This window comes from Homo sapiens, chromosome 19 (genome assembly GCF_000001405.40).
Source record: "Homo sapiens chromosome 19, GRCh38.p14 Primary Assembly".
Taxonomy (NCBI): Eukaryota; Metazoa; Chordata; class Mammalia; order Primates; family Hominidae; genus Homo; species Homo sapiens.
Window position 1 is genome coordinate 21,371,266 of NC_000019.10, and position 25,030 is coordinate 21,396,295.

The window sequence follows — 25,030 nt, forward strand, 5'->3', positions numbered from 1 at the left end:
CTGGCTTATCACTGGGCCATCAGCCCTGGGTCACTGGGAATCCTCTCCTAATCACCTGGGTGTCCTTAAGACATTTGAGGATGTCAAGGGTAGAATTATGTCAGGCTAACAAGAATGATTAATTATGTTTCTGTCTCGTTGTAAGAGAAAGGAGACATCCTGTGTTTTTTTCTCCCTCATACAAGAGATAACTTTGGTTGTTACCCAGATGAGAGTTTCTCAAGTTTTCTGGTACTAGGGTGAAAGACAAAGAGGAGGTCTGGTGACTCAAACAAACTAATTGCTTCCACTTCATATGGTCATTCAAAAAATAGATGAAGCAGTCAAGGTCCCTACCATCCAGGAAATTTTAGTCTAGACTAGCAACTGGATACATGGTTGAATTAAGCATTATATGGTTGGTACAGTGAATAGAAGTGTGCAAAAAAACCTTGGTCCACTTCTTTTTAATATTGTTGTGACTTCTGAAGTTATCACCTGAACGTATATTTATGGACTGAAGAGTTATTATTATTTGTGTTTCTTTTACTTTTCTAAGAATACATATTTATCTTCTAATAAAATTATCCTAGAAAACTTTAAAAGATCCATTTAAATTGCTTATTAGTATATGTTATAAAATTGACAGCAGTGGCAAAAATAGATTAGTGTTACATAAACTCTGGGATTTAACTTTTTTTTTCTTTTTTCTTTTTTAGACGGAGTTTCGCTCTTGTTGCCCAGGCTGGAGTGCAATGGCGCGATCTCAGCTCACCTCAACCTCCGCCTCCCGGGTTCAAGCGATTCTCCTGCCTCAGCCTTCCGAGTAGCTGGGATTACAGGCATGCACCACCACCCTGGCTAATTTTGTATTTTTAGTAGAGATGGGGTTTCTCCATGTTGGTCAGGCTGGTCTTGAACTCCCGACCTCAGGTGACCTACCTACCTCGACCTCCCAAAATGCTGGGATTACAGGCATGAGCCACCGTGCCAGGCTGGGATTTAAGTTTTTCTTAGGTAAACTTAGGAAAAACAGAACTGGAAATACTCCAGTGACATAGAAAACAAATTCTACCTAGGTTCTTTTCCCTGCCCCAGTTCTGATCAGATTCACCATTTTTGGAGGCCTTATTTAGGTCTGGCCTCACTCTGGAGTGTTCCCTTACAAAACTGATTTATAAAGATTCAAGTTTTTGGGGGTAAATCCTGCTGACTTTCTAGAGCTGCTGCTCACAGTATCCTGAAACCCAAAAGCAGATACATAAGAAAAATAAACTATACATTTTAAGATCTTAATTTTTAAATTTTGTAGTAAAACCAGTGCTTACAGAAACGTTCCATTTAGCAGATTTTCTGTTCCTGCAGATCCAGTAGCTGCTCTACAAGTCATAAACAAGTAAACATAAACACAAAAAAATTTCTCTAAACTACATTCTAAATCCTGAGAATTATTGAACACTTAGTATGAACTTTCAAGGTGTTAGTAGGACATAATAACAAATAATAACACATAATGTGTTATTCCCAGCACAGTGCTCTGCAACATACTATTGAGCACATAGTACCTGCTTAATAAACATTGCATTAGTTCATGTGTACATGTTGTTTTTTAAATGCAGACTTATTTAGACATTGCTGCCTTCTGTGTCCTCTGTAAACTTTAGAGAGCCAGCAAAGAATATGAAACTTTACATTTTTTGTCTTTATTTGGGTATCAGAAGTATTGTATTGTGACAAGAGTGCGGCATGTAAAGGACTCTGTGCTGTGCCTGCTTTCTCTAACTAATGCTAATAATGAGCCCAAGGGGAGCAACATCAGCATTGACACGGGACTTGTTTGAAACACCCATCCATGGACCCTTTCCAAACCTACAGAATCACATTACATAAAGTGGGACCAACGTTACCAAGTGATTTTTGAGCTCATTAAAGGTTGAGAGGCAATGCTTAGCTAAGTGGTTATCAGCCTAGACTTCTCATTAGCATTACATGGCCAATTTGCAGAAATCTCTTTACTTGTACCCTTTCCACAGGTTCTGTTTATTGTTCTAGGTGAAAGTATTCATGTTGTTTTAATTGTGTCTCATGTGACTCTAAGGTGAGGCCAGAATCAAGTGTGTGGGGTTCAAGATACATTCATGAGAGTTAAGTTCCACCTTTGCACTAAAAGGTAGTCACAGGGACCGTTCTGTTTGGTTTTGATAGGGAGAGGTCAGTGTCACCCATATTTCCATTACTGTAGCAGAAATTGCTGGTGTTTGTGGCAAAAGCAGGCACCTGAAGACAGAAATAGAGAAACATATTTTTATATTCATTGAGCAGTTCATTGTTCCTGAATCTCTGCTGTTATAAAGGACAGAAATGGGTGTGCTTTTTCTGCAGTTCTTAGTTCTTTTTTCTGTGGGTGTGAGACTAGCAGGTAAACAGGTGGTGCTGACGCCTTTTAAGGAATTTTTTCAAGACACAGGTGTAACTTCTCCAGAGAATGTCATCTGAAAAGCATTTCCAAAGAAGACAAAAGAGGAAAAATGGCTTTTTTTTTTTTTTTCAGCTAAACATGTGTCAGATGAAGAGCTGTGTCCACTCTGCCTCCTGGAGTGCGATGCATTTAGTCCTTGCAAACATTTACTTCTCTACTTGTGTTTCTTTCCCCTAATGAGTTTAACTACTATAAAAAATTCTTGTGGTAGTCAAGGGTCTCTGCAAAGTATCTCTCTCCTATATCCCAGAGCCTTCTCTACACTCTCTAAATCATGGCTTCTTATACGCCATGCAGAATTCTTACCAGGAATTTTTGATCTGCACTATTAAAAGTGTTTCCCTTGTTGCTGTTGAACGTGGAAAGATGTGGATACTCAAGATTCCTATTGGGGGAACGTCCTTAGTAAGGATGGAGAACATGTAATGTTGAGGTTTCATATGTGTTCTTCATTAGCTCTGTTCAGAACAGGATTAAGAAAATGCTTATTTAAACTGGATGGCATTTATTACTCTGAAAGTTCTGAAAAAAAAATTATTGCGAGATACCCGCTTTCTAGGGTGCTAAAGAAAGACTACTTTAAATTGTTATTAAAAATTACAGAACATAGAAGATATCTGCATCTTGAACTCTGCATAAAACTGATTTTTCTGTGTGGTTAAATTCAGACTATACTTTTTGGGGGGCAATATCTCAGTAATGATGCTGTGTTCTTCGGTGTGCGTCAGCACATCACAAAAATTTGTCCTTGTGCAGTTGATTTTAAAATTTACTTCAAGAGCTCTTGGAAATATTCATTTCACTGTAGAGTTAATTATTTTTCTCCTCATTATTAAGTATCTTTATGTAGCCAAAGAAGAGCTGTGCATAAATCATCACATTTAATCTGGCAGCTGCCTTTCTTTCTTAGGTTTTCTTTGCATATGTCTATCTTTAGAAAATGAAGACTCTTATCTTTGTTTACAGGCCAGAAAAATGGGGTAAAACACAGGCTCTTCCACTTACTGGATGTTTGACAAAATGTTCTTTTTGGGCGAAATACATTGGCATTACTAGTGAGCTTGTTAGAAATTCAGAATCTCAGACTTTATTTCACATCTTCTGAAAAAAAAAAATCTGCATAAGATCTCCAGTGTATTGTACACATTAAAACTTGAGAGGTGCTGTCTAACTCAACATGTCATTTTTGCCTAAAAAATATGCACTACTCATTCTTTGTGATGCAAATATAACACTAAAAAATATACATGTTTGTGTTCATGCCTTTCGTTTTTATACTTTATTGTTCATAAAATTATCATATATACAGCGGTATTGTGGATCTTATACCATTCTCTTCTCTCAGAGTTAGAGAATACATTAGAGAATATTTCTGTGTTGAAAATTGTTGGATGATTTCAGTTATTCCTGTAAGTCAGAACCAATTTTCTTTACTCTCTCATTTAACCTTAATTCAAATGATAAATTCTGCCCGTGGACACTTGTAAATATGTGTGTGTGTGTGTGTTTTTCAGGGGCCGTTGACATTTAGGGATGTGGTCATAGAATTCTCTCAGGAGGAGTGGCAATGCCTGGACACTGCTCAGCAAGATTTGTATAGGAAAGTGATGTTAGAGAACTTCAGAAACCTGGTGTTCTTGGGTGAGAATAACTTTAATACACAATTCCTTATATACACTAAAGGTTTCATTTCTCCATTTTTGTAGAATAATTTTTGGTAGTTTATGCTTTGCATAAATGCGTTTCTGATCCCTGTTTTCAAAAAATTGCGAGGAATTATCCATGCAGAAAAAAATTTCCTCAAGATGTTTTATCTTAGCCTGAACTTTTTGCATTCCTGAGCTGGTCTGTACCCTTCACTCTAGAGTAGTGGTAATCTCAGAAATTTAGTAGTATAAAATATTGTTGCCCATAGGTTAAAATCTATTTGCCACCACTAATTTTTGATTCATGAGCACTGAGTAGCAAAATTAAGGACCTACAAATTTAAAATATTTTCTAAATGTAAGAACTTTCTGTCATTAAATAGTATTTTGGGATGAATTTTCTAGAATATTCTATTACCTCCTCTTTACTAAGCACAGTAATAGGTAGGTAATTAGAGAATATGAGCAAGATTCATGTTATTTATTTTTAATAAATCAGGTATTGATGTCTCTAAGCCAGATCTGATCACCTGTCTGGAGCAAGGAAAAGATCCCTGGAATATGAAGAGACACAGTATGGTAGCCACACCCCCAGGTAGGTGAGAGTGAATAAAACAGTTGACATAGATGAAAGGTTGGAAGATTACAAAAAAAAAAAAGCAGTCCCTATAATGTGATTTGGGAAGCTGTGTTCCAAAGCAAATAGATTCTGGGAAGCCTGAGGTGTGTGGTTTTTTTGTTTGTTTTCTTTTTGTTGTTGTTACTGTCACATAGGGCCATCTTCTGTCTTAGGCTTTTAAATTCTCTAAGGATTCTACTTTCCCTTCATTGATTTTCCTTCAAGTTCACAGTGAGAGCCAGAGTCCTCTTCATGGCATATAAAAGACTGCACAATCTGACTGCATTTCCATTGTTTTGGGGGACACACAAATATCTGCATGATTTTGAGAAACTTTATGTTAAACTATTTTTTTAGTTCTCTTTTGCATCATGTCTAAAATGTGTGAGAGTAGTGGTCACTGTTCTATTGGTTTTTATGTTAATTTTCTGCACATTCCATCTTTTTTTATTAGTATATTCTTGAAATATAGTCTGAAATTATAAAATATAATGTCTCTCTGCTTTGTTCTTTTTCCTCAAGATTGCTTTGGCTATTCAAAGTTTATTGTAGTTTTTTTGTTTTGTTTTGTTTTTTGTTTTGAGATGGAGTTTCACTCTTGTTGCCCAGGTTGGAGTGCAAAGGCGCCATCTTGGCTCATCGTAACCTCTGCCTCCAGCGATTCTCCTATGTCAGCCTCCCGAGTAGCTGAGACTACAGGCATGCACCACCATGAGAGTTTTTAGTAAAAACTCATGTTTTTATAAAAAGTTTTATTAAAAAATTGGATTTTTAGTATACTTGCCTTGGCCTCCCAAAGTGTTGGGATTACAGGCGTGAGCCACTACACCCAGCCTTTTTTTCTATTTTATACTTTCATTCCATTTTGGTCATAGGATGTAATTCATAAAATGTCAAATTTAACAAATTTTTATGACTCCGTTTTTGGCCTAACAGGTGGTCTATCAAAGAGAATGTTGCATAAGCTATTTTGAAGGATGTGTTTCCTCATATTCTTGAGGACTCTTCTCTATTTCTCTGTTAAAAATAATTGTACAGGCTGGGCGCAGTGGCTCATGCCTGTAATCCCAACACTTTGGGAGGCCGAGGCGAGCGGATCATCTGAGTTTGGGAGTTTGAGACCAGCCTGACCAACATGGAGAAACCCCATCTCTACTAAAAATACAAAATTAGCCAGGTATGGCAGCACGTGCCTGTAGTCCTAGCTACTCAGGAGGCGGAGGCAGAAGAATCGCTTGAACCCAGGAGGCGGAGGTTGTGGTGAGCTGAGATCGTGCCATTGCACTCCAGCCTGGGTAACAAGAGCAAACTCCATCTAAAAAAAAAAAAAATTGTATTATACTGCCTTCAGTTCCTCTCTTCACTTACTAATATTCTGTCTTGTTTTATTTTTATTACAGAAAGTGGGGTATTGAAATTTCCTACTATAATTATATTGCTGTCTAGGTGTTTCTTCCAGTCTGTCAATATTTGCTTTATATATTTGGAACCTTAGTGTGACATACACACAGACACACAGACGTGCACACACACACACACACACACAAAATTTGTCATAGGTTCCCAGTTAATAAATCTATTATTGTTTAATGTCTTTCTTTGTCTCTTTGCAGTTTTGACTTAAAGTACTTTATGTAAGATATGACAGTTTTTGACTTAAGATGTGGCTTTTGTAATACTATTTTGACCTCTTCTGCTCTCATTTGGTTAATATTTGCATGCAATGTCTAAATCTATCTTGCCACCTTCAGTATGTTTTTAATCATTAGATGTCAGCTGACCCTTGTAGAAAGGCAAATTGGATCTTGGTTTTTAATAATTTTAAATAAATTTCTTTATTGAAAGTATGTCTCTTGATTGGAAAGTTTTCTGAAACAAAGAGACTTACTAATTTTTTTTGTTGTTCTATTTGATTCTTGCATCTTTGTCCCACATTTTCTCTCTTTGTTTCTCTCTGTGGCTGTTTTATTTTTACTTTGATATGCTTTTACTTCTTTCTTATGTTGTTTTCTGTGTCTATACAGGCATATTCTTTGTGGTACGTGGGGGATTACATAAAACCTTTAAGAGATACAATGTATTTCAGTCTAGTTAAAAATGAACTTTTGTTGCATGCAAAAATTTTTTCTCATTACATATGTTCTCAGATTTGTTCTTGATGTTGCTAATTATATTTTTATATGTATATTTATTAACATGTTTATAATGATTTCTATGCCTTTATCTTTCAAATTTTGGGGAATAATTAAAAATTTCTTCTGTGCCATTATGATAATGCTAAGAAATGTATTTTTGTGTATGTGCGTATCTTTCCCAGAAAATAATGTGTTTTAATATGATTTTGTGTTGCTTTGTTAAATCATCTTATTTTCATTGGAAGCAACTGTTTTCAGCACCTTTTATATGTAAGGAAGTACCAATATACTTTTTAAAATTTGGTTATTTTTGAAGTTTGTTTTCTTTTTATTTAGCAGGACAGATTTGGTGATGGTATTATACTCACTTGATAACTATTTTCTTCAGATTTCACTATATCACACAGTTTTCTTCTGTCCTGAAAAATTTTTGTTGAGAATCCACTGGCTATCTCATAAGAGTATTCTTGCAAATAATATCACTTTTTTTTTTTTTTTTTTTGAGATGGAGTTTCACTGTTGTTCCCCAGGCCGGAGTGAAATGGCGCGATTTCACCTCGCTGTGTCCCAGGTTCAAGCAGTTCTCCTACCTCAGCCTCCCGAGTAGCTGGGATTACGGGCATATGCCACCACACCCAGCTAAGTTTGTATTTTTAGTAGAGACAGGGTTTCTCCATGTTGGTCAGGCTAGTCTCGATCTCCTGACCTCAGGTGATTCACCCACCTCAGCTTCCCAAAGTGCCGGGATTACAAGCTTGAGCTACCGCGCCCAGCCAACACATCACTTTTATCTTGCAGCTCCCGAGATTCTCTTTTCTGTGACTTTTAAAATTGTGCTTACATATGTGTTTGATATAAATATCTTTGTATTCTAGTTTGTTTGTTCAGCTTCTTCATTTTTACATCACTTTTTAAAAGATTTCTGTTATTTTTTATATTTTTTTACCTCCATAATTTCTGTTTTTCCAATATTTTAAATATTTCTGTTCTTATTTCCAGTTTTCTGATTTTCTGTAGTTCTCTGTGTTCATATTTTACTCATTGAGTATTCAATTTATTTTGTTTTTAAAATTAATGTATACATTTTTTATTTCTTTCTGAAAAATTTATAATAATTTTGTTGGTACTACATTGCCCTGTTTTGTATATATTCTAATCTTTTATTAAAATTTGCACATTAAAAAAATGTTACCTGTCCCAGTCTTTGTAATGTGGCTTTCTCCTGGCATACTTTGAACAATTGTCTGGGTTAGAGATTCTGAGAGTCTCTCAGACATATTCTTACAATGTGTCTTGCCTGAAATTTTGTGTTTATTTTTTAGTTAAAGGAAATTATTCATCTTCTTTGTTAATACTCAGTAATCACTCACTGCACCTGTTTTCTTTCTGTGGTCCTGCAGTCTCTTCACTGCTTTAACATTTACCTTTGATCTCAGCAGACACAAACTGTCATTCCAAATTATACCACCATTTCTTTCAGCACTATATGTCATGGGTGACAGAAACCAGTGTCTTCAAAGGCCCCTACAAGCAAGCAATAAAGATACATGAGCCAGTATTTTACTTGTGTTTTTTAAATTTTTTTTTTTAAGGCCACATTTTTTTAATTGACACCTCAATCTCTACATACATACAGTATTGCACGAATTATAAGTGGATCAACAATTATATTATTGATACAAACTCATGAGCATTTACATAAAACTACCGCTCTAGGTTTTGGTGTGTTTTGTGCCAGCTACTTTAGTGAATAAAAGAAACATAAAGGAACTCAACTACTTGAATTCATGAGAATCAGCTTTCAATAAAAGCATATGTGTCATCTCATAGAATACTTAATATGTCAAACCCAGGAAAATCAGTAACTAAGTAACAAAAGGAACACTTATTAAGAAAATTTGATGATAAAAATGTTAGGCTAAAATATTAAGAACTTTAGCAACTGGACTGAGGAACCAGAAAGTATATGCACACTGGGAATTTTAAGAAAAGATCCCCATATTCTCCTGCACAATGAGGACCACATTCCAAAAACATAATTCTGGGTTGTTACAATGTCTTCTCTGCTACAAACCATAGTTTCAAAGATGAAAGAAACAAGTTCACATAAAAGGGTTTTAAAATTCTTCCCACTCAAAATAAAATAAAAATAATATGATCTCCATCAAATTATAAAGAAATTCTATCAAAATGGTGACCAAATAAAGAAGTCAGACCATTTGCCTTCACTGACTGCCTCAGAGGGCAGAGCATGTGTCACCTACAAGGAAGGGGAGATGGGGGTAGAGTCCCCACTCTCCCCTGGCCTGTGGAGTGGGGGTGGACAGGAGCCCTTTGGCTTCCCTGGGGTTTTGCTTCCTCACATAGGGAATTGAGGGAGGTGGGCTAGATGGCTTTAAGAGACCCCTCAACTAAAAGAATCAAAGTCAGCTTGAGATCCTATCTCTGAGCAGGCACATAAGGTGGCAAAAGAAATGGATTAAAAAACAGATGGATGATGTCTTTCTCACCTTTTAATACCATCACTGAGAACTAATCTGTACTATAGTTGAAGAAAATCTTTGCCCGGTACTATTATAGGGTACTCAATGAGGCATCTGACAATGAAATTTTTCATACAAATGTATAAAAAGGCTATATTAAGTTTGGGTGGGAAAACAATGCACCACCATGTTACTACCAGCAGTCAGGACGTCCTGTCTCAGATTTTAGGAGTCACCGATCTGTTTGGGAGAAATGCTGAGGGGGATGCATGTTCAAGCCATTCAGTAGAGAGCTAAGGAGGGCACACTGTTCAGGAAATGGATAAACAGGTGCCCAGGAAGGCAACTTTAATGAAACTGTTTCTAAAACAAAGGATATAAGAGACCTAAATGATCCAAGGAGAGTGATGGCTTCTCATTTTCTGTCCCCTAATGAGAATACAAATATTTCTTCTGGGATCTAACACACTAGCTTCATTTTCAAGATGCATCACTTTATTTTCCTTACAAGGCAGCAGCACATTAAGCACGTGAGAGTCACATGATTTCTGCAGTGAGCACCAAGGCTTCCAGGAGTTTTCTTGGAACCTACAGCCAGAAGAGTCCTGAGATTTCAAATATTAAAGCTTTCTCTACAGCCACACGTCCCTTTGATGTTTGGGTTATTGAACACAAACTCACTGGATAATTTGTCTTCAACATAGTCCATTTCCGCTCCTAAAACTGTTAGCTTTGCTTTCTTTTTGATGAATACTCTGACTCCATCTTGAATAACTTCTTCATCAGAATCTCCTTTTGTCTTTGTATATTCTAGAGTATAAGAAAGGCCATTACAGACCCTGGTTTGGACACCAACTTTTACACCTACAAGCTCAGGCTTACCTTTTTCTTTTTCTTTTTTTTTCGAGATGGAGTCTCATTCTGTCACCCAGGCTGCAGTGCAGTGGCGTGATCTCAGCTCACTGCAAGCTCCGTCTCCCGGGTTCACGCCATACTCCTGCCTCAGCATCCCGAGTAGCTGGGACTACAGGCACCTGCCACCATGCCTGGCTGATTTTTTGTATTTTTAGTAGAGATGGGGTTTCACTGCGTTAGCCAGGATGGTCTCGATCTCCTGACCTCGTGATCCACCCACCTCGGCCTCCCAAAGTGCTGGGATTACAAGCGTGAGCCACCGCGCCTGGCCAGGCTTATCTTTAAGAAGTTGTTTTACTTTGGTTACTGCTGAAGGTGTCAGGGTGAGGGCGGCCTGGGTGGGCTGCAGCTTCCTCTTGCTCACAGCCTGGACAGTTGCCTGGACTAAGGAAGCTGACATCTTCACCATCCCAATGCCCCAGTGCCTCAGGCCAGAGCTCGGCTGCCTCAGCCTGTCTCCATGGACATGGCAGGTGCATTCTACTTGTGTTTTTTAAAATACATATATAAAATGTTGGCAATTTACTTCTTTTTTTCTTTCTTTCTTTTTTTTTTTTTTTTTGAGATGTAGTCTTGCTCTGTTGCCCAGGCTAGAGTGCAATGGTGTGATTTTGACTCACTGCTACCTCTGCCTCCTGGGTTCAAGCAATTCTCCTGCCTCAGCCTCTTGAGTAGCTGGGATTACAGGTTGAGCCACCACGCCCGGCTGGCAATTTACTTCTTTTTGTTTTTTTTTTTGAGATGGACTCTTGCACTGTCACCCAGGCTGGAGTGCAATGGCATGATTTCTGCTCACTGCAACCTCTGTTTCCTGGGTTCAAACAATTCTGCCTCAGCCTTCTGAGTATCTGGGACTACAGGCACACACCACCATGCCCAGCTAATTTTTATATTTGTAGTAGAGACGGAGTTTCACAGTGTTGGCCAGGATGGTCTCAATCTCCTGACCTCATGATCCACATGCTTCAGCCTCCCAAAGTGCTGGGATTACAGGTGTGAGCCACCACATCTGGGGCAATTTACTTCTAAAGGCATTATGTTATATCGGGGAGCAGGAACAGCTGTGTTGGGTAAGTGTAACAAACTTTTTTTTCTTCTGTGTGACTTTTTGCATTGTGCTCACTTGGGGTACTTTAAACATTTAGTTCATTTATAATTTTTTCTCAGATGTATTTTCGTTAGTATGTTTTTGTTACATATATATGTCTATAAAAAATTAGGGCCTTTGGTATTTTGCTATATCATCTTGTATATGTAGTTTGTATAATGTCATAGTTTAGATTTGTAATCTATATTTATCTGAGTCTAGTAAGTGGAGTAACTTGATATTTTTATTTCTTTCAGTTACATATTCTCATTTTGCCCAGGACCTTTGGCCACAGCCGGGCATAAAAGATTCTTTCCAAAAAGTGATACTGAGAGAATATGGAAATTATGGACATAAAGATTTACAGTTAAGAAAAGGCTGTAAAAGTGTGAATGAGTGTAATGTGCAAAAAGAAGGTTATAATGAACTAAAAGAGTATTTGACAACTACCCAGAGCAAAATATTTCAATGTGATAAATATGTGAAAGTCTTTCATAAATTTTTAAATTCAAATACACATAAGACAAGACATACTGGAAAGAAACCTTTCAAATGTAAAAAATGTGGCAAATCATTTTGCATGCTTTTACACCTAGGTCAACATAAAATAATTCATATTAGAGAGAATTCTTACCAATGTGAAGAATGTGGCAAAGCCTTTAAATGGTTCTCAACCCTTACTAGACACAAGAGAATTCATACTGGAGACAAATCCTACAAACATGAAGAATGTGGAAAAGGTTTTAACCACTCCACAACTCTTACTAGACATAAGGTAATTCATGCTGGAGAGAAACACTACAAATGTGAAAAATGTGGCAAAGATTTTAAACAGTCCTCACACCTTACTAAACATAAGACAATTCATGCTGGAGAGAAACCCTACAAATGTGAAGGATGTGGCAAAGCTTTCTGCCAATTCTCATACCTTACTAAACATAAGATAATTCATACTGGAGAGAAACCCTACAAATGTGAGGAATGTGGCAAAGCTTTTAATTGGTACTCACACCTTACCAGACATAAGATAATTCATACTGGAGAGAAACCCTACAAATGTGAATAATGTGGCAAAGCCTTTAATGTATTCGCAACCCTTACTAGACATAAGATAATTCATACTGAAGAGAAACCCTACAAATGTGAGGAATGTGGCAAAGCTTTTAAACAGTCCTCAAACCTTACTACTCATGAAAATTCATTCTGGAGAGAAACCCTACAAATGTGGAGAATGTGGCAAAGCTTTCTTCAGATTCTCATACCTTACTACACATAAGATAATTCATACTGGAGAGAAACCCTACAAATGTGAAGAATGTGGCAAAGCTTTTAACTGTTACTCCTACCTTACTGCACATAAGTTGATTCATACTGGAGAGAAACCCTACAAATGTGAAGAATGTGGCAAAGCTTTCTACCGATTCATTTACCTTACTACACATAAGAGAATTCACACTGGAGAGAAACCCTACAAATGTGAAGAATGTGGCAAAGCTTTCTACCGATTATCTTATCTTACTACACATAAGATGATTCATACTGTAGAGAAACGCTACAAATGTGAGGAATGTGGCAAAGCTTTTAACTGGTACTCACGCCTTACTACACATAAGAGAATTCATACTGGTGAGAAACCCTACAAATGTGAAGAATGTGGCAAAGCCTTTAGTGTATTCTCAACCCTTACTAAACATAAGATAATTCATACTGGAGAGAGACCCTACAAGTGTGAAGAATGTGGCAAAGCCTTTAATGTATTCTCAACCCTTACTAAACATAAGAGAATTCATAATGGAGAGAAACCCTACAAATGTTTAGAATGTGGCAAAGATTTCTACCAATTCTCATACCTTACTACACATAAGATGATTCATACTGGAGAGAGACCCTACAAACATGAAGAAAGTGGCAAAGCTTTTAACTGTTCCTCACAAATTACTAGACATAAGATAATTCATACTGGAGAGAAACCCTACAAATGTGAAGAATGTGGCAAAGCTTTTTAAAAATCCTCAAACCTTACTAATCATAAGATAACTCATACTGGAGAGAAACCCTACAAATGTGAAGAATGTGGAAAAGCTTTTAACCAGTCCTCAACTCTTACTAGACATAAGAGAGTTCATACTGGAGAGAAACCCTACAAATGTGAAGAATGTGGCAAAGCTTATAACTGGTCCTCAAACCTTACTAAACATAAGAAAATTCATACTGGAGAGACACCCTACAAATGTGAAGAATGTGGCAAAGCTTTTAACCAATCTTCAACCCTTACTATACATAAGATAATTCATATTGGAGAATAACACTACAAATGTAAAAAATGTGGCAAACCTTATAACCAGTACTCATACTTTACTACACATAGGAGAATTCATGCGGAAGAGAATTTCTACAAATGTGAAGAATGTGGCAAAGGCTTTGACTGGTCCTCTACCCTTACTAAAGATAAAAGAGTTTGACTGGGTGCGGTGGCTCATGCCTGTAATCCCAGCACTTTGGGAGGCTGAGGCAGGCAGATCACCTGGTCAATGGTCCTCTACCCTTACTAAAGATAAAAGAGTTTGACTGGGTGCGGTGGCTCATGCCTGTAATCCCAGCACTTTGGGAGGCTGAGGCAGGCAGATCACCTGGTCAAGAGTTCAAGACCAGCCTGGCCCATATGGTGAAACCCCATCTCTACTAAAAATATAAAAAATTAGCCAGGTGTAGTGGTGCACACCTGTAGTCCCAGCTACTCTGGAGGCCTAGGTGGGAGAATCGCTTGAACCCAGGAGGTGGAGGTTGCAGTGAGCTGAGATGGCTCCACTGCACTCCAGCCTGGATGACAGAGAGAGACTCTATCTCCAAAAAAATAAATAAATAAATAAAAAAAATAAGAGAGTTCATACTAGAGAGAAACCCTGCAAATGTGAAGAATGTGAGAAAGCTCTTAACCAGTCCTCACACCTTACTGCACATAAGAGAAATCATACTGGAAGGAAACCCTACAAATGTAAAGAATGTGAGAAAGCTTTTAACTGGTACTCATGCCTTACTGCACATAAGATAATTCATACTGGAGAGAAACTCTACAAATGTCAAGAATGTGGCAAAGCTTTTAACCGGTACTCAACCCTTACTACACATAAGGTAATTCATGCTGGAGAGATACCCTACAAATGTGAAGAATGTGGCAAAGGTTTTTATTGATTCTCATACTTTACTAAAAATAAGGTGATTCATTCTGGAGAGAAATTCTACAAATGTGAAGAATGTGGCAAAGGCTTTAATTTGTCCTCAACACTTACTAAACAGAATTCATAGCAGAGAGAAATCCTACAAATATGAAGAATGTCACAAAGCTTTTAACCACTTCTCAACCCTGATGACACATAAGGTAATTCGTGCTGGAGAGAAACCCTACAAATATGAAGAATATCTCAAAACTTTTTATAGATTCTCATACCTTATTAAACATAAAATCTTACAGGAGAGAAATTATACAAATGTGAAGAATGTGGCAAAGCTTTTAAGAAATCCTCATCCATTACTAAACAAGATAATTTGTACTGGAGAGAAAACCTACAAACGTGAGGAATGTGGCAAAGCCTTTAATGGTCCCCTCAACTTTCTGCACATAAGATAATTTATACTGTGGAGAAGCCTTACAAATGTGAAAAATGTAGCAAACCTTTTAACTAATCCTCAACCCTTACTACACATAAGATAATTAATGCTGGAGGGAAATCCCACCCATGTGGCAAAGCTTTTAATCAATCCTCAAACCTTACTAAACATAAGATAACTCATACTGGAGAAAAATCTTAGAAATGTGAAGGATGTGGTAAAGCCGTTATCCAGTCCTCAACTCCCACTAAACATAACATAATTCATACTGGAGAGAAACCTCACAACTGTGAAGAATGTGGCAAAGCTTTTAACCAGTCCTACAAACCTTTTTGAACAAAATAATTCATACAGGAGAGAAACACTACAAATGTGAGGAATGTGACAAAGCCTTTAACCAGTCCTCAATTCTTACCAAACATAAGAAAATTCATATTGGAGATTAACCTTATGAGTGTGAAAAATATGGCAAAAGCTTTAACTAGTTCTCAGTTATTATTATTATTTTTAGAGATGGAGTTTCACTCTTGTTGCCAAGGCTGCAATACTGTGGCATGATTTCAGCTCACTGCAACCTCCGTCTCCCAGGTTTAAGCAATTCTGCCTCAGCCTCCCGAGTAGCTGGGATTACAGGCATGCACCACTATACCCATCTAATTTTGTATGTTTAGCAGAGATGGGGTTTCTCCATGTAGATCAGGCTGGTCTTGAACTCCTGACCTTGTAATCTGCCCACCTCAGCCTCCCAAAGTGCTGGGATTACAGGCATGAGCCACCACGCTCAGCCACTAGTCCTCAGATCTTAACACACATAAGATAATTCATACTGGAAAGAAACTCCACAAACCAGAAAGATGCAATAATGCTTTTGACAACACCTCAAGCTTTTCTAACCATAAAAAGAATCATATTGGTGAGAAATCCTAGAAATGTGAAGAATGTGACAAAGTCTTTAAATGGTTGTCATACTTGACTTTTTTCTTTTTTTGAGATGAAGTCTCACTCTTGTCCCCCAGGCTGGTGTGCAATGGCATGATGTCGGCTCACTGCAAACTCCGCCTCCCAGGTTCAAGTGATTCTCCTACCTCAGCCTCCCAAGTAGCTGGGATTACAGGCACCTGCCACCACGCCTGGCTAATTTTTGTACTTTTAGTAGAGATGGGGTATGACCATCTTGGCCAGGCTGGTCTCAAACTCCTGACCTCAGGTGATCCGCCCACCTCGGGCCTCCCAAAGTGCTGGGATTACAGGCATGAGCCACCACTCCCTGCCTTACTTGATTACATTCAATATAATTCATACTGGAAAGAAATCCTACAAGTGAGAGCAATGTGGCAAAACTTAACCACCTTATTGCACAGAAAAGCATTTATGTTTGAGAAAAATTATACAAATACAGACTGTGAAAAAGACATTAATATCTGCTTACATCTTAACACCAGAGAGTTCATACTTAATAAAAGCAAGATAAGGGCAATTACTGTCAAAAGGTCTTTCAGAAAAATATAACCCTTTAAAGTGAAGAAGAGAATTTATATTGAAGATGGACATTACAAACATAAAGAGGGTTGTAGTACCTTTACTTGAATCAAATTTTATTGTACACATTTTGTACTAGAGGAAAACTCTGAAGCAGTTGCTCAAGCTTTGTTCAACATTAGGGCACTTATATTGGAAAAGTGTCTTGCAGATATAATAAATGTGGAAAAACACTTTTTCAAAAACTACATCAGAAAACACCAGAGTTTATACTGAAGAATATTTTTGAAGATGCACTAAAAATGAAAAAATATTTAATCCAAATTAGGGCTATGTAAATATCAGAATTTATAATAGAAATATATAAGGAACTGACACTGCAGATATACTAAGTCAAGAGTTCTGAGTATAGAAAATAATCTAAAACTAAAGTTGATAGAAAAAGTATTTGTATATAAATTTAAGAGGAGTAAAAGATTTTTTGCAGAGTAATAACTACATTCTAAGTATACTTTATTTCTTGAAAAAATTACAGACTTTGAAAGCAAATGATGTAATTCAACACTCATTTTCTGGTGTTTCTTCATTCTTATTCACTTGTGAAAGCATGTGATAATTGTTGCATCAAAGGTATGAGAGATTCTTTTCCATTAGGTGGGCATTTATGATCTTTTCTATGGACAAGTAAGGACATTAGAATGTAAGATGCATGATGAAAAAGTGGAGAGGTTCTTTGTGGTTAACTTATACTCTTGAGTGATATATGAGGTAGGTGTTAAGAGTATTGTTCTTTTGCATTATGAGAAAACTAGTAGTATATTATTAGTATATTATTGTACTAATTGTACTTTTATATAATAAAATGCAGCACATTTTTAAAATTTTACATTATGTGTGAAGTTAATGGTTTCAACATTTTTAACATGTTAATCTCTTGCCAGTGGCTTTAAAGTATAGATAAATTAAATAATAATATTCCTGTTGGGTAAATATTTATTCTTATTTTAATCAATTAAATTTATTTTTCTTAATTTTTGTGGGTATATGAGTATATATACTTATGCCATATATGGCATATTTTGATACACAAATATAATACATAATAATCATGTGCTAAATGTGGTATCCGTCACCTCTAGCATTTATCCTTTGTATTACTGACAATCGAATTCTACACTTTTACTTATTTTAAAATGTACAATTATGGCCAGGCACAGTGGCCTCACACCTGTTATCACAGCACTTTGGGAAGCTGAGGCGGGCAGATCACCAGGTCAGGAGTTCAAGACCAGCCTGGCCAACATGGTAAAACCCTGCCTCTACTAAAAATAGAAAAATTAGCTGGGCATGGTGGCAGGCACCTGTAATCCCAGCTACTCTGGAGGCTGAGGCAGGAGAATCACTTGAATTCGGGAGGTGGAGATTGCAGTGAGCCGAGATCGTGCCGCTGCACTCCAGCCTGGGTCAGAGAGCAAGACTCCATCAAAAAGAGAAAGAAAGAAAGAGAGAGAGGAAGGAAGGGAAGAAAGAAAGAATTGGTCTCTACTCTTATGAAACTTTCAGTATAATTTCATAAAATCCTCATGCATTCCTGAGAAGTGGATACCTCTGAAGTTTCCTAAAGCCCTACTAACCCAAAGTAACCAGTATCTGAATTTTGTATTATCATTTACTTTATGCAATTTTATCTATAAACAATATACGTTTCAGTGTTGCCAGATTTTTGGCTCTAGATAAATTCTACAATTTTTCATCTGTGACTTGCTTTTTTATTTACAATTGTTTCCTTCTATTTTTCCATGTTGCTTTGCATAGCTACAGTTGTCCATTTCACTGCTGCATAGGGTGAATATACATCAATTTTTAAACCAATTCTATAGCCAGTGGTTATTTGTGAATTCCAATTACTCTATATTTTACCAACTCTTGGAATTACTAGACATATTGAGGGGTGAAGCCAGCTGGACTTCCTGGGTCAAATGGGGACTTGGAGAACTTTTCTGTATAGCTAAAGGATTGTAAATGCACCAGTCAGCACTCTGTAAAAATGCACCAATTAGCACTCTATGTCTAGCTAAAGGATTGCAAACACACCAATCAGCACTCTGTAAAAATGCACCCATCAGCACTCTGTGTCTAGCTAAAGGATTGTAAATGCACCAATCAGCACTCTGTAAAAACCCACCAATCAGCACTCTGCGTCTAGCTAAAGGATTGTAAACACACCAATCAGCACTCTGTAAAATGGACCAATTGGTGCTCTGTAAAATGGCCCAATCAGCAGTACGTGGGCAGGGCCAAATAAGGGAATAAAAGCTGGCCACCAGGAGCCAGCAGCAGCAACCTGCTTGGGTCCCCTTCCATGCTGTGGAAGCTTTGTTCTTTCACTCCTCACTATAAATCTTGCTGCTGCTCACTCTTTGGGTCTGCACCACCTTTAAGAGCTGTAACACTCACCACGAATGTCCACAGCTTCATTCTTGAAGTCACCTAGACCACAAACCCACCAGAAGGAAGAAACTCTGGACACATTGGAAGGAACAAACTCCAGACACACCATCTTTAAGAGCTGTAACACTCACTGCAAAGGTCTGCGGCTTCATTCTTGAAGTCAGCGAGACCAAGAATCCACCAGATGGAATAAATTCTGGGCACAATATTTTTTGACAAAGTGGAGAATCAGAATGGTATATCATTTATAGTTTTAATTAGCATTTCTATAGTTACTAATGAAGTTAGCATTTTTAGAAGTTAATTGGTCAATTGTGCTTTAAGATGTGCCATCTGTCTATTTTTAATGTATTTCATTTCTTTTTGTATTCATACTCTATAAGGTATATTGTCTAAATACTAATTTTTTGTAATATGCGTTTTTGTAGATTTTTGTCCTAGTTATGATTTGCCTTTCCACCATCTATATTTAAACATGTTTTTATAAGTTCTTAATCAAAAATTCTTAGAATTTGGTCTAATTTATAATGTGCCATGTTTAAGACATTGTTTTACCCCACTGTTATAACAACAATAATATCCTGTATTTTCTCCTAAAAGTTTTAAATTCTCAATCTATGTGAAAAATTGTTGTGTCAGTTGCTGTGCAGGAATCCAATCTACCCAGCTAGAACCAATTGTTTAGGTACTAGCTTATTGACTTGTTCTACTTTGCCAGTATTACTGTAATACTGAGCTCTCATTTTAATCTATTGGCTGGGACCATAGATGCAATATTTAATAAAAATGTTGATAGCAGCATCCTTATAATGTTTATGACATCAAAAGACAAGTTTTCATGGTTTATCATGTACATTTGCTGTAGTACATTTTAGATACCTTCTATATTTAGAAAATAAAATTTCCTTTTATTTTTAGTTTGCTAAAAGGTTTTTACCAAGCCCTTTTTCTGTGCCTATTGTATATACACATATAGATTTTACAAAGTTTAACTTACCTTGTACTCTCGAGATAAACTTATTCATGGTTTTACTTTTTTTTTTTTTTTTTTTTGAGATGGAGTCTCGCTCTGTCATCCAGGCTGGAGTGCAGTGGTGCAATCTTGTCTTACTGCAACCTCTGCCTCCTCCTGGGTTCAAGTGATTCTCCTGCCTCAGCCTCCCGAGTAGCTGGGACTACAGGTGTGTGCCACCATGCCTGGTTAATTTTTATATTTTTAGTAGAGACGGAATTTCACCATATTGGCCAGACTGGTCTTGAACTCCTGACCTCATGATCCACCCAACTCGGCCTCCCAAAGTACTGGGATTATAGGCGTGAGCCACCGCTCCCAGCCGGGTTTACTTATTTTATACAGAGCAAGATTCAGTTTGTTAGCAAATGCTTTAAAACTTTAAAATCTGTCTTTATGAATGATACTTTTATAGTTATTCATGTTTTGTCTCTGTCAATCTTTGGTATTAACTCTCAGAAATTGAGTTGTGCAGTGTTTTTACTTCTTCTGTTTTTTGAAAGGTTAAATAATATCAACAGTATGCTTTTCATTTTTAAACTTTAAATGTCTGAAAGACTTACCTGTAGAGTTTTCTGACATTGACATTTTTTGCATATGTGTTAATTTCATCTGCTCTCATCTAGTTTACTAGTTCTGTCTAGTGCACCTAAGTTCAAATGTGGTTAGTGAGTTCTTTTAGTTATTGTATTATTCATTCCACAACTTAGTTACTTTTTAAATTGTTTTATAGTTTCTAATGCCCTGTAGATACTTTCATTTGTCTTATTTAAATATGTTAAGCCTAGTAGTTTTTAATATTTTTGTCGATAAATCTAATATTGGATGTCTTTGCAGGTTTGTTTCTGTTATTCCTTCTTCTGGTGTCTTTCACACTGTCTTCTTTATTGTGAGTTTTGCCATCTTTGGTTGCTTGCTAGTCACTGTTCATAGAAAATTACTTTCAAGTTTCATCAAGGACTGGATGAGATGTTACCTTCTTTAAGAAAGTTTGCTTTTGCTTCTTTCAGTTTTCTGAAAATTTTACAATGTGGAACAATCATTTGGACAACTTTAAGTAATGTGGTTCATTCAAAATTTATATAACTGATGGAGAAATTTATGTAAGATCAATGTGTGGTGACAAGATTGTAGAAATTTCTTTCTCTTTTGAAAATTTTTCTTTATCACCTGCCCTCAACCTCAAGACAATCTTGTATGCCATTCCTCAGTGTTGGGAAGAAAGGGACTGTTTGGGTCATACCTAGCCTTTGAACTCCCAGGTTAATTTTGAGAAGGTTTTTAAATAATTTCCAAGTGCTAAACATCCAAAAGTACATAATAAATATTAGGTAACATCATTATACTAGTAATCCTGAACACAATATTTTAAGTGTTCAGCTGCACTATTGTGTTCTATGAAAAGAAGGTTTTTGTTTAGAATATTTTCCAATAGATTGATTACGTGTTATAAATTGCAAATATGTTTGTAGTTTGTATAAGGCAAAGAATGAGATGTTTGGATTCAAGGATGCATAAGATCAAACACTAAGACAATTTTCTATGTAGTTGAGGAGAAAGAGTGGGTGTTGAAAAAGCCAATGCAGCTCATGGATTGCAAGTTTCTGCCTCCTGCTCCCACCTAATCTGGCTGTGCCTGGCTGCCAGCAGCCAAGATTTGCTTTAAAATACTGAAGAAAAAGTATTAAGAAAGCCAACCCCATAGTCTGTTTACATACACAAATATAAAGCAATGTTCTTCTCTAATGTGAGGAATATGTTCAGGAAAGCTAAAATGATTTCAGAGTAAGAAAGTAAAAAGTTGGCAGCATGAGCACATCTAGCCCTACATACTGAGTTGCTTTTGGAGTGAAGAGCTAACATGAAAGGCAAGAGAAAAATTAGAAAATAATAATTTTGCCATTGAGTACTTTATATTTTTTATATTTCCATGAATTCCATAAATAACAAAATTGTATGAATGCATTTTTTCTGTAAACATTATTTTGGATATAGTGTCTGACTCTGTTGCCCCGGATGGAGTGCAGTGGTGAGTTTACAGCTCACTGCAGCCTCGATATACAGTGCTCAAGTGGGTCTTTCACCTCAGCCTCTCAAGTAGCTGGGACTACAGGTGGGTACCACCATGTACAGCTAATTTATTTGATTTTTAGTTTTGATAAGATCTCAATATGTTGCCAACACTTGTCTTGAACTCCTGAACTCAAACAATCTTTCCCCCTCATCTTTCCAAAACAGGATTACAAACATAAACAAGCACACTTTACCCATATAAGTATTTTTAAATATTACAGACAGCACTTTGGGAGGCTAAGACAGGAAGATTGCTTGAACAAAAGAGTGTAAGATCTGCCTGGGCAATGTAGCAATACCTCATCCCTACAAAATGAAACAACAACAACAAAGAGAATGCTGGTATCATGTGAAAATCACTACACTCAACCTCAGTGCCCTTTTGCAGACAAACTCTATATAAGTTTGTTTTATCTTTACAAAGATTTGCATGTGTATGTGTGATTTTATGTACCTTTCGAAGTAGTATTGCATGTGTGTTTCCTTGGGTGAGATAGTGTGTTTGATGGTTATAAGAGCAGGCTCAAAGTACCTGTAAAACCTTGGGCAAGTTGTTTTTGTTTGTTTGTTTGTTTGTTGTTTGTTTGTTTGTTTTTGTTTTTGAAATGGAGTCTTGCTGTGTTGCCCAGGCTGGAGTGCAATGGTGCAATCTCGATTCACTGCAACCTCTGCCTCCTGGGTTCAAGCAATTCTCCTGCCTCAGCTTCCCAAGTAGCTGGGATTACAGGTGCCTTCCACCACACCAGGCTAATTTTTGTATTTTTAGTAGAGACGGGGTTTCACCATGTTGGCCAGGCTGGTCTCGAACTCCCGACCTCAGATGATCTGCCCTCCTTGGCCTCCCAAAGTCCTGGGATTACAGGCCTGAGCCACCTCTCCTGGCCGGGCAAACTTCTTAACCTCTCTGTCTCATCTATCACTTGGGAATAATAACATGGCCAGTAAAATCAGTGTTGTTCTTTGAACATATTAATAAAGTAGAAAAAGTTATTTTAAGAGCAATAAAAATATTAAACACAAAAGAGGATATTTATAGATAAAGTCAAGATTTTAAAATGATATTGTAGGGAGGCTGAGGCAGGAGAATGGCGTGAACCCGGGAGGCAGAGCTTGCAGTGAGCCAAGATCACACCACTGCACTCCAGCCTGGGCACACAGCGAGACTCCGTCTCAAAAAAAAAAAAAAAAAAAAAGTTTGCCTTTAATCTATTTTCTTCATGTCTAAACATGAAAGCTCAAGGCTGTGGACAAATTTGAAGACATGGAGTTTTCTTCTCATGTAGCCCTATCATTTTTTTGTTTTGTTTTGTTTTAAGACAGAGTCTTGCTCTGTTGCCCAGGCTGGAGTGTAGTGGCGCGATCTCGGCTCCGCCTCCCAGATTCTAGTGATTCTCCTGCCTCAGCCTCCTGAGTAGCTTGGGATTAAAGTCACCCACCACCGTGCACGGCTAATTTTTGTATTTTTAGTAGAGATGGGGTTTCACCATATTGGCCAGGCTGGTCTCGAACTCCTGACCTTGTGGTCTGCCCATCTCAGCCTCCCAAAGTGCTGGGATTACAGCCTCCCAAAGTGCTGGGATTACAGGCGTGAGCTACCATGCCCAGGCTTTTTTTTTTTTTTTTTTTTTTTTTTTTTTGAGACGGAGTCCCGCTCTGTCACCCAGGCTGGAGTGCAGTGGCAAGATCTGGGCTCACTGCAAATTCTGTCTCCCAGATTCTAGCGATTCTCCTGCCTCAGCCTCCTGAGTAGCTTGGGATTAAAGTCACCCACCACCATGCACGGCTAATTTTTGTATTTTTAATAAAGATGGGGTTTCACCATATTGGCCAGGCTGGTCTCGAACTCCTGATCTTGTGATCTGCCCACCTCAGCCTCCCAAAGTGCTGGGATTACAGGCGACAGCTACCGTGCCCAGGCTTTTTTTTTTTTTTTTTTTTTGAGACGGAGTCCCGCTCTGTTGCCCAGGCTGGAATACAGTGGCAAGATCTGGGCTCACTGCAAATTCTGCCTCCCAGGTTTAAGTGATTCTCCTGCCTCGGCCTCCTGAGTAGCTGGGATTACAGGCATACGCCACCACGCCCAGCCAGTGTATATATTTTTAGTAGAGACCGGGTTTCACCATGTTGTCCATGCTGGTCTCGAACTCTTGACCTCAAGTGATCCGCCCACCTCGGTCTCCCAGAGTGCTGGGATTATAGGCGTGAGCCACCGCGCCTGGTGGCCCTATCATTCTTTGTTCACTGTATGATCTTTAGAAGAAAGGTGGGCAACAGGTGGCCAGCAGTGGTCTACCTGTGGTGATTTTATTCTTGATATCTTCTGACCTTTCTATGGCCACTATCTGTTCCACCCTCGGAACAGCACAGAGACTTTGGTAGAGAGAGGCTGTCCCCTCACCACTGGCAGAATATGGACGTTCAGACCCTTCACCTTCCTGACGTCAGAGCTGACACATTCAATACAACAGCTATTGGCCATGTATGGCCGGCTACTGGGTGCCTGGAATGTCGCTGCAATTTGCTAGAAAGGTAAAATACAGAGTTAGTTTCAAAGATACAGTTCCAAATATATATATACTTCATTAATCTTTACATATTGCTCACATATTACAATGATAATATTTTGGATATATTGGGTTAATTAAATTGTTACAATGAATTTCACCTGTTTCTTCTCCTTCTTTTTAAAATTTTTTTATTTTTGAGATGGAGTCTTGCTCTGTTTCCCAGACTGGAGTGCAATGGCGTGATCTTGGCTCACCTCAACCTCTGCCTCCTGGGTTTAAGTGATTCTCCTGCCTCAGCCTCTCTATTAGCTGGGATTACAGGCACCTGCCATCATACCCAGATAATTTTTGTATTTTTGTAGAGACGGGGTTTCACCATGTTGGCTAGGCTGGTCTTGCACTCCTGACCTCGGGTGATCCGCCTGCCTCGGCCTCCCCAAGTGCTGAGATAACAGGCATGGGACACTACACCCGGCTTTCTTTTCTTTCACTTTTATTTTCTTTCTTCTCTTCTCTTCACTTTTCTTTCTTCTTTTTCCTTCCTTCCTTTTCCTTC

General features: G+C 37.7%; 1 protein-coding gene and 1 pseudogene across 6 annotated transcripts in view; one reads left to right on the top strand and one right to left on the bottom strand.

The window, feature by feature from the left end:
- The window catches only part of ZNF738 (zinc finger protein 738), a 29,583-nt gene extending 12,266 nt beyond the window's left edge, over positions 1–17,317 (top strand). The window contains exons 3-5 of one of the 6 annotated variants that reach the window (NM_001355237.2): positions 3,973–4,099; positions 4,604–4,699; positions 11,601–17,317. In NM_001355237.2, coding sequence (NP_001342166.1) covers positions 3,973–4,099; positions 4,604–4,699; positions 11,601–12,409 — 1,032 coding nt within the window. In that variant the 3' untranslated portion in view covers positions 12,410–17,317. Of the gene's footprint in view, positions 1–3,972; positions 4,100–4,603; positions 4,700–4,896; positions 8,045–8,338; positions 8,417–11,600 lie in introns of those variants that run through there. The other 5 variants (XM_047438272.1, NM_001355241.2, XM_047438273.1 and 2 more) reach the window with 5 other exon arrangements.
- Positions 9,767–10,736, bottom strand: ISCA1P7 (iron-sulfur cluster assembly 1 pseudogene 7; annotated as a pseudogene).
- Positions 17,318–25,030: the final 7,713 nt, after the last annotated feature.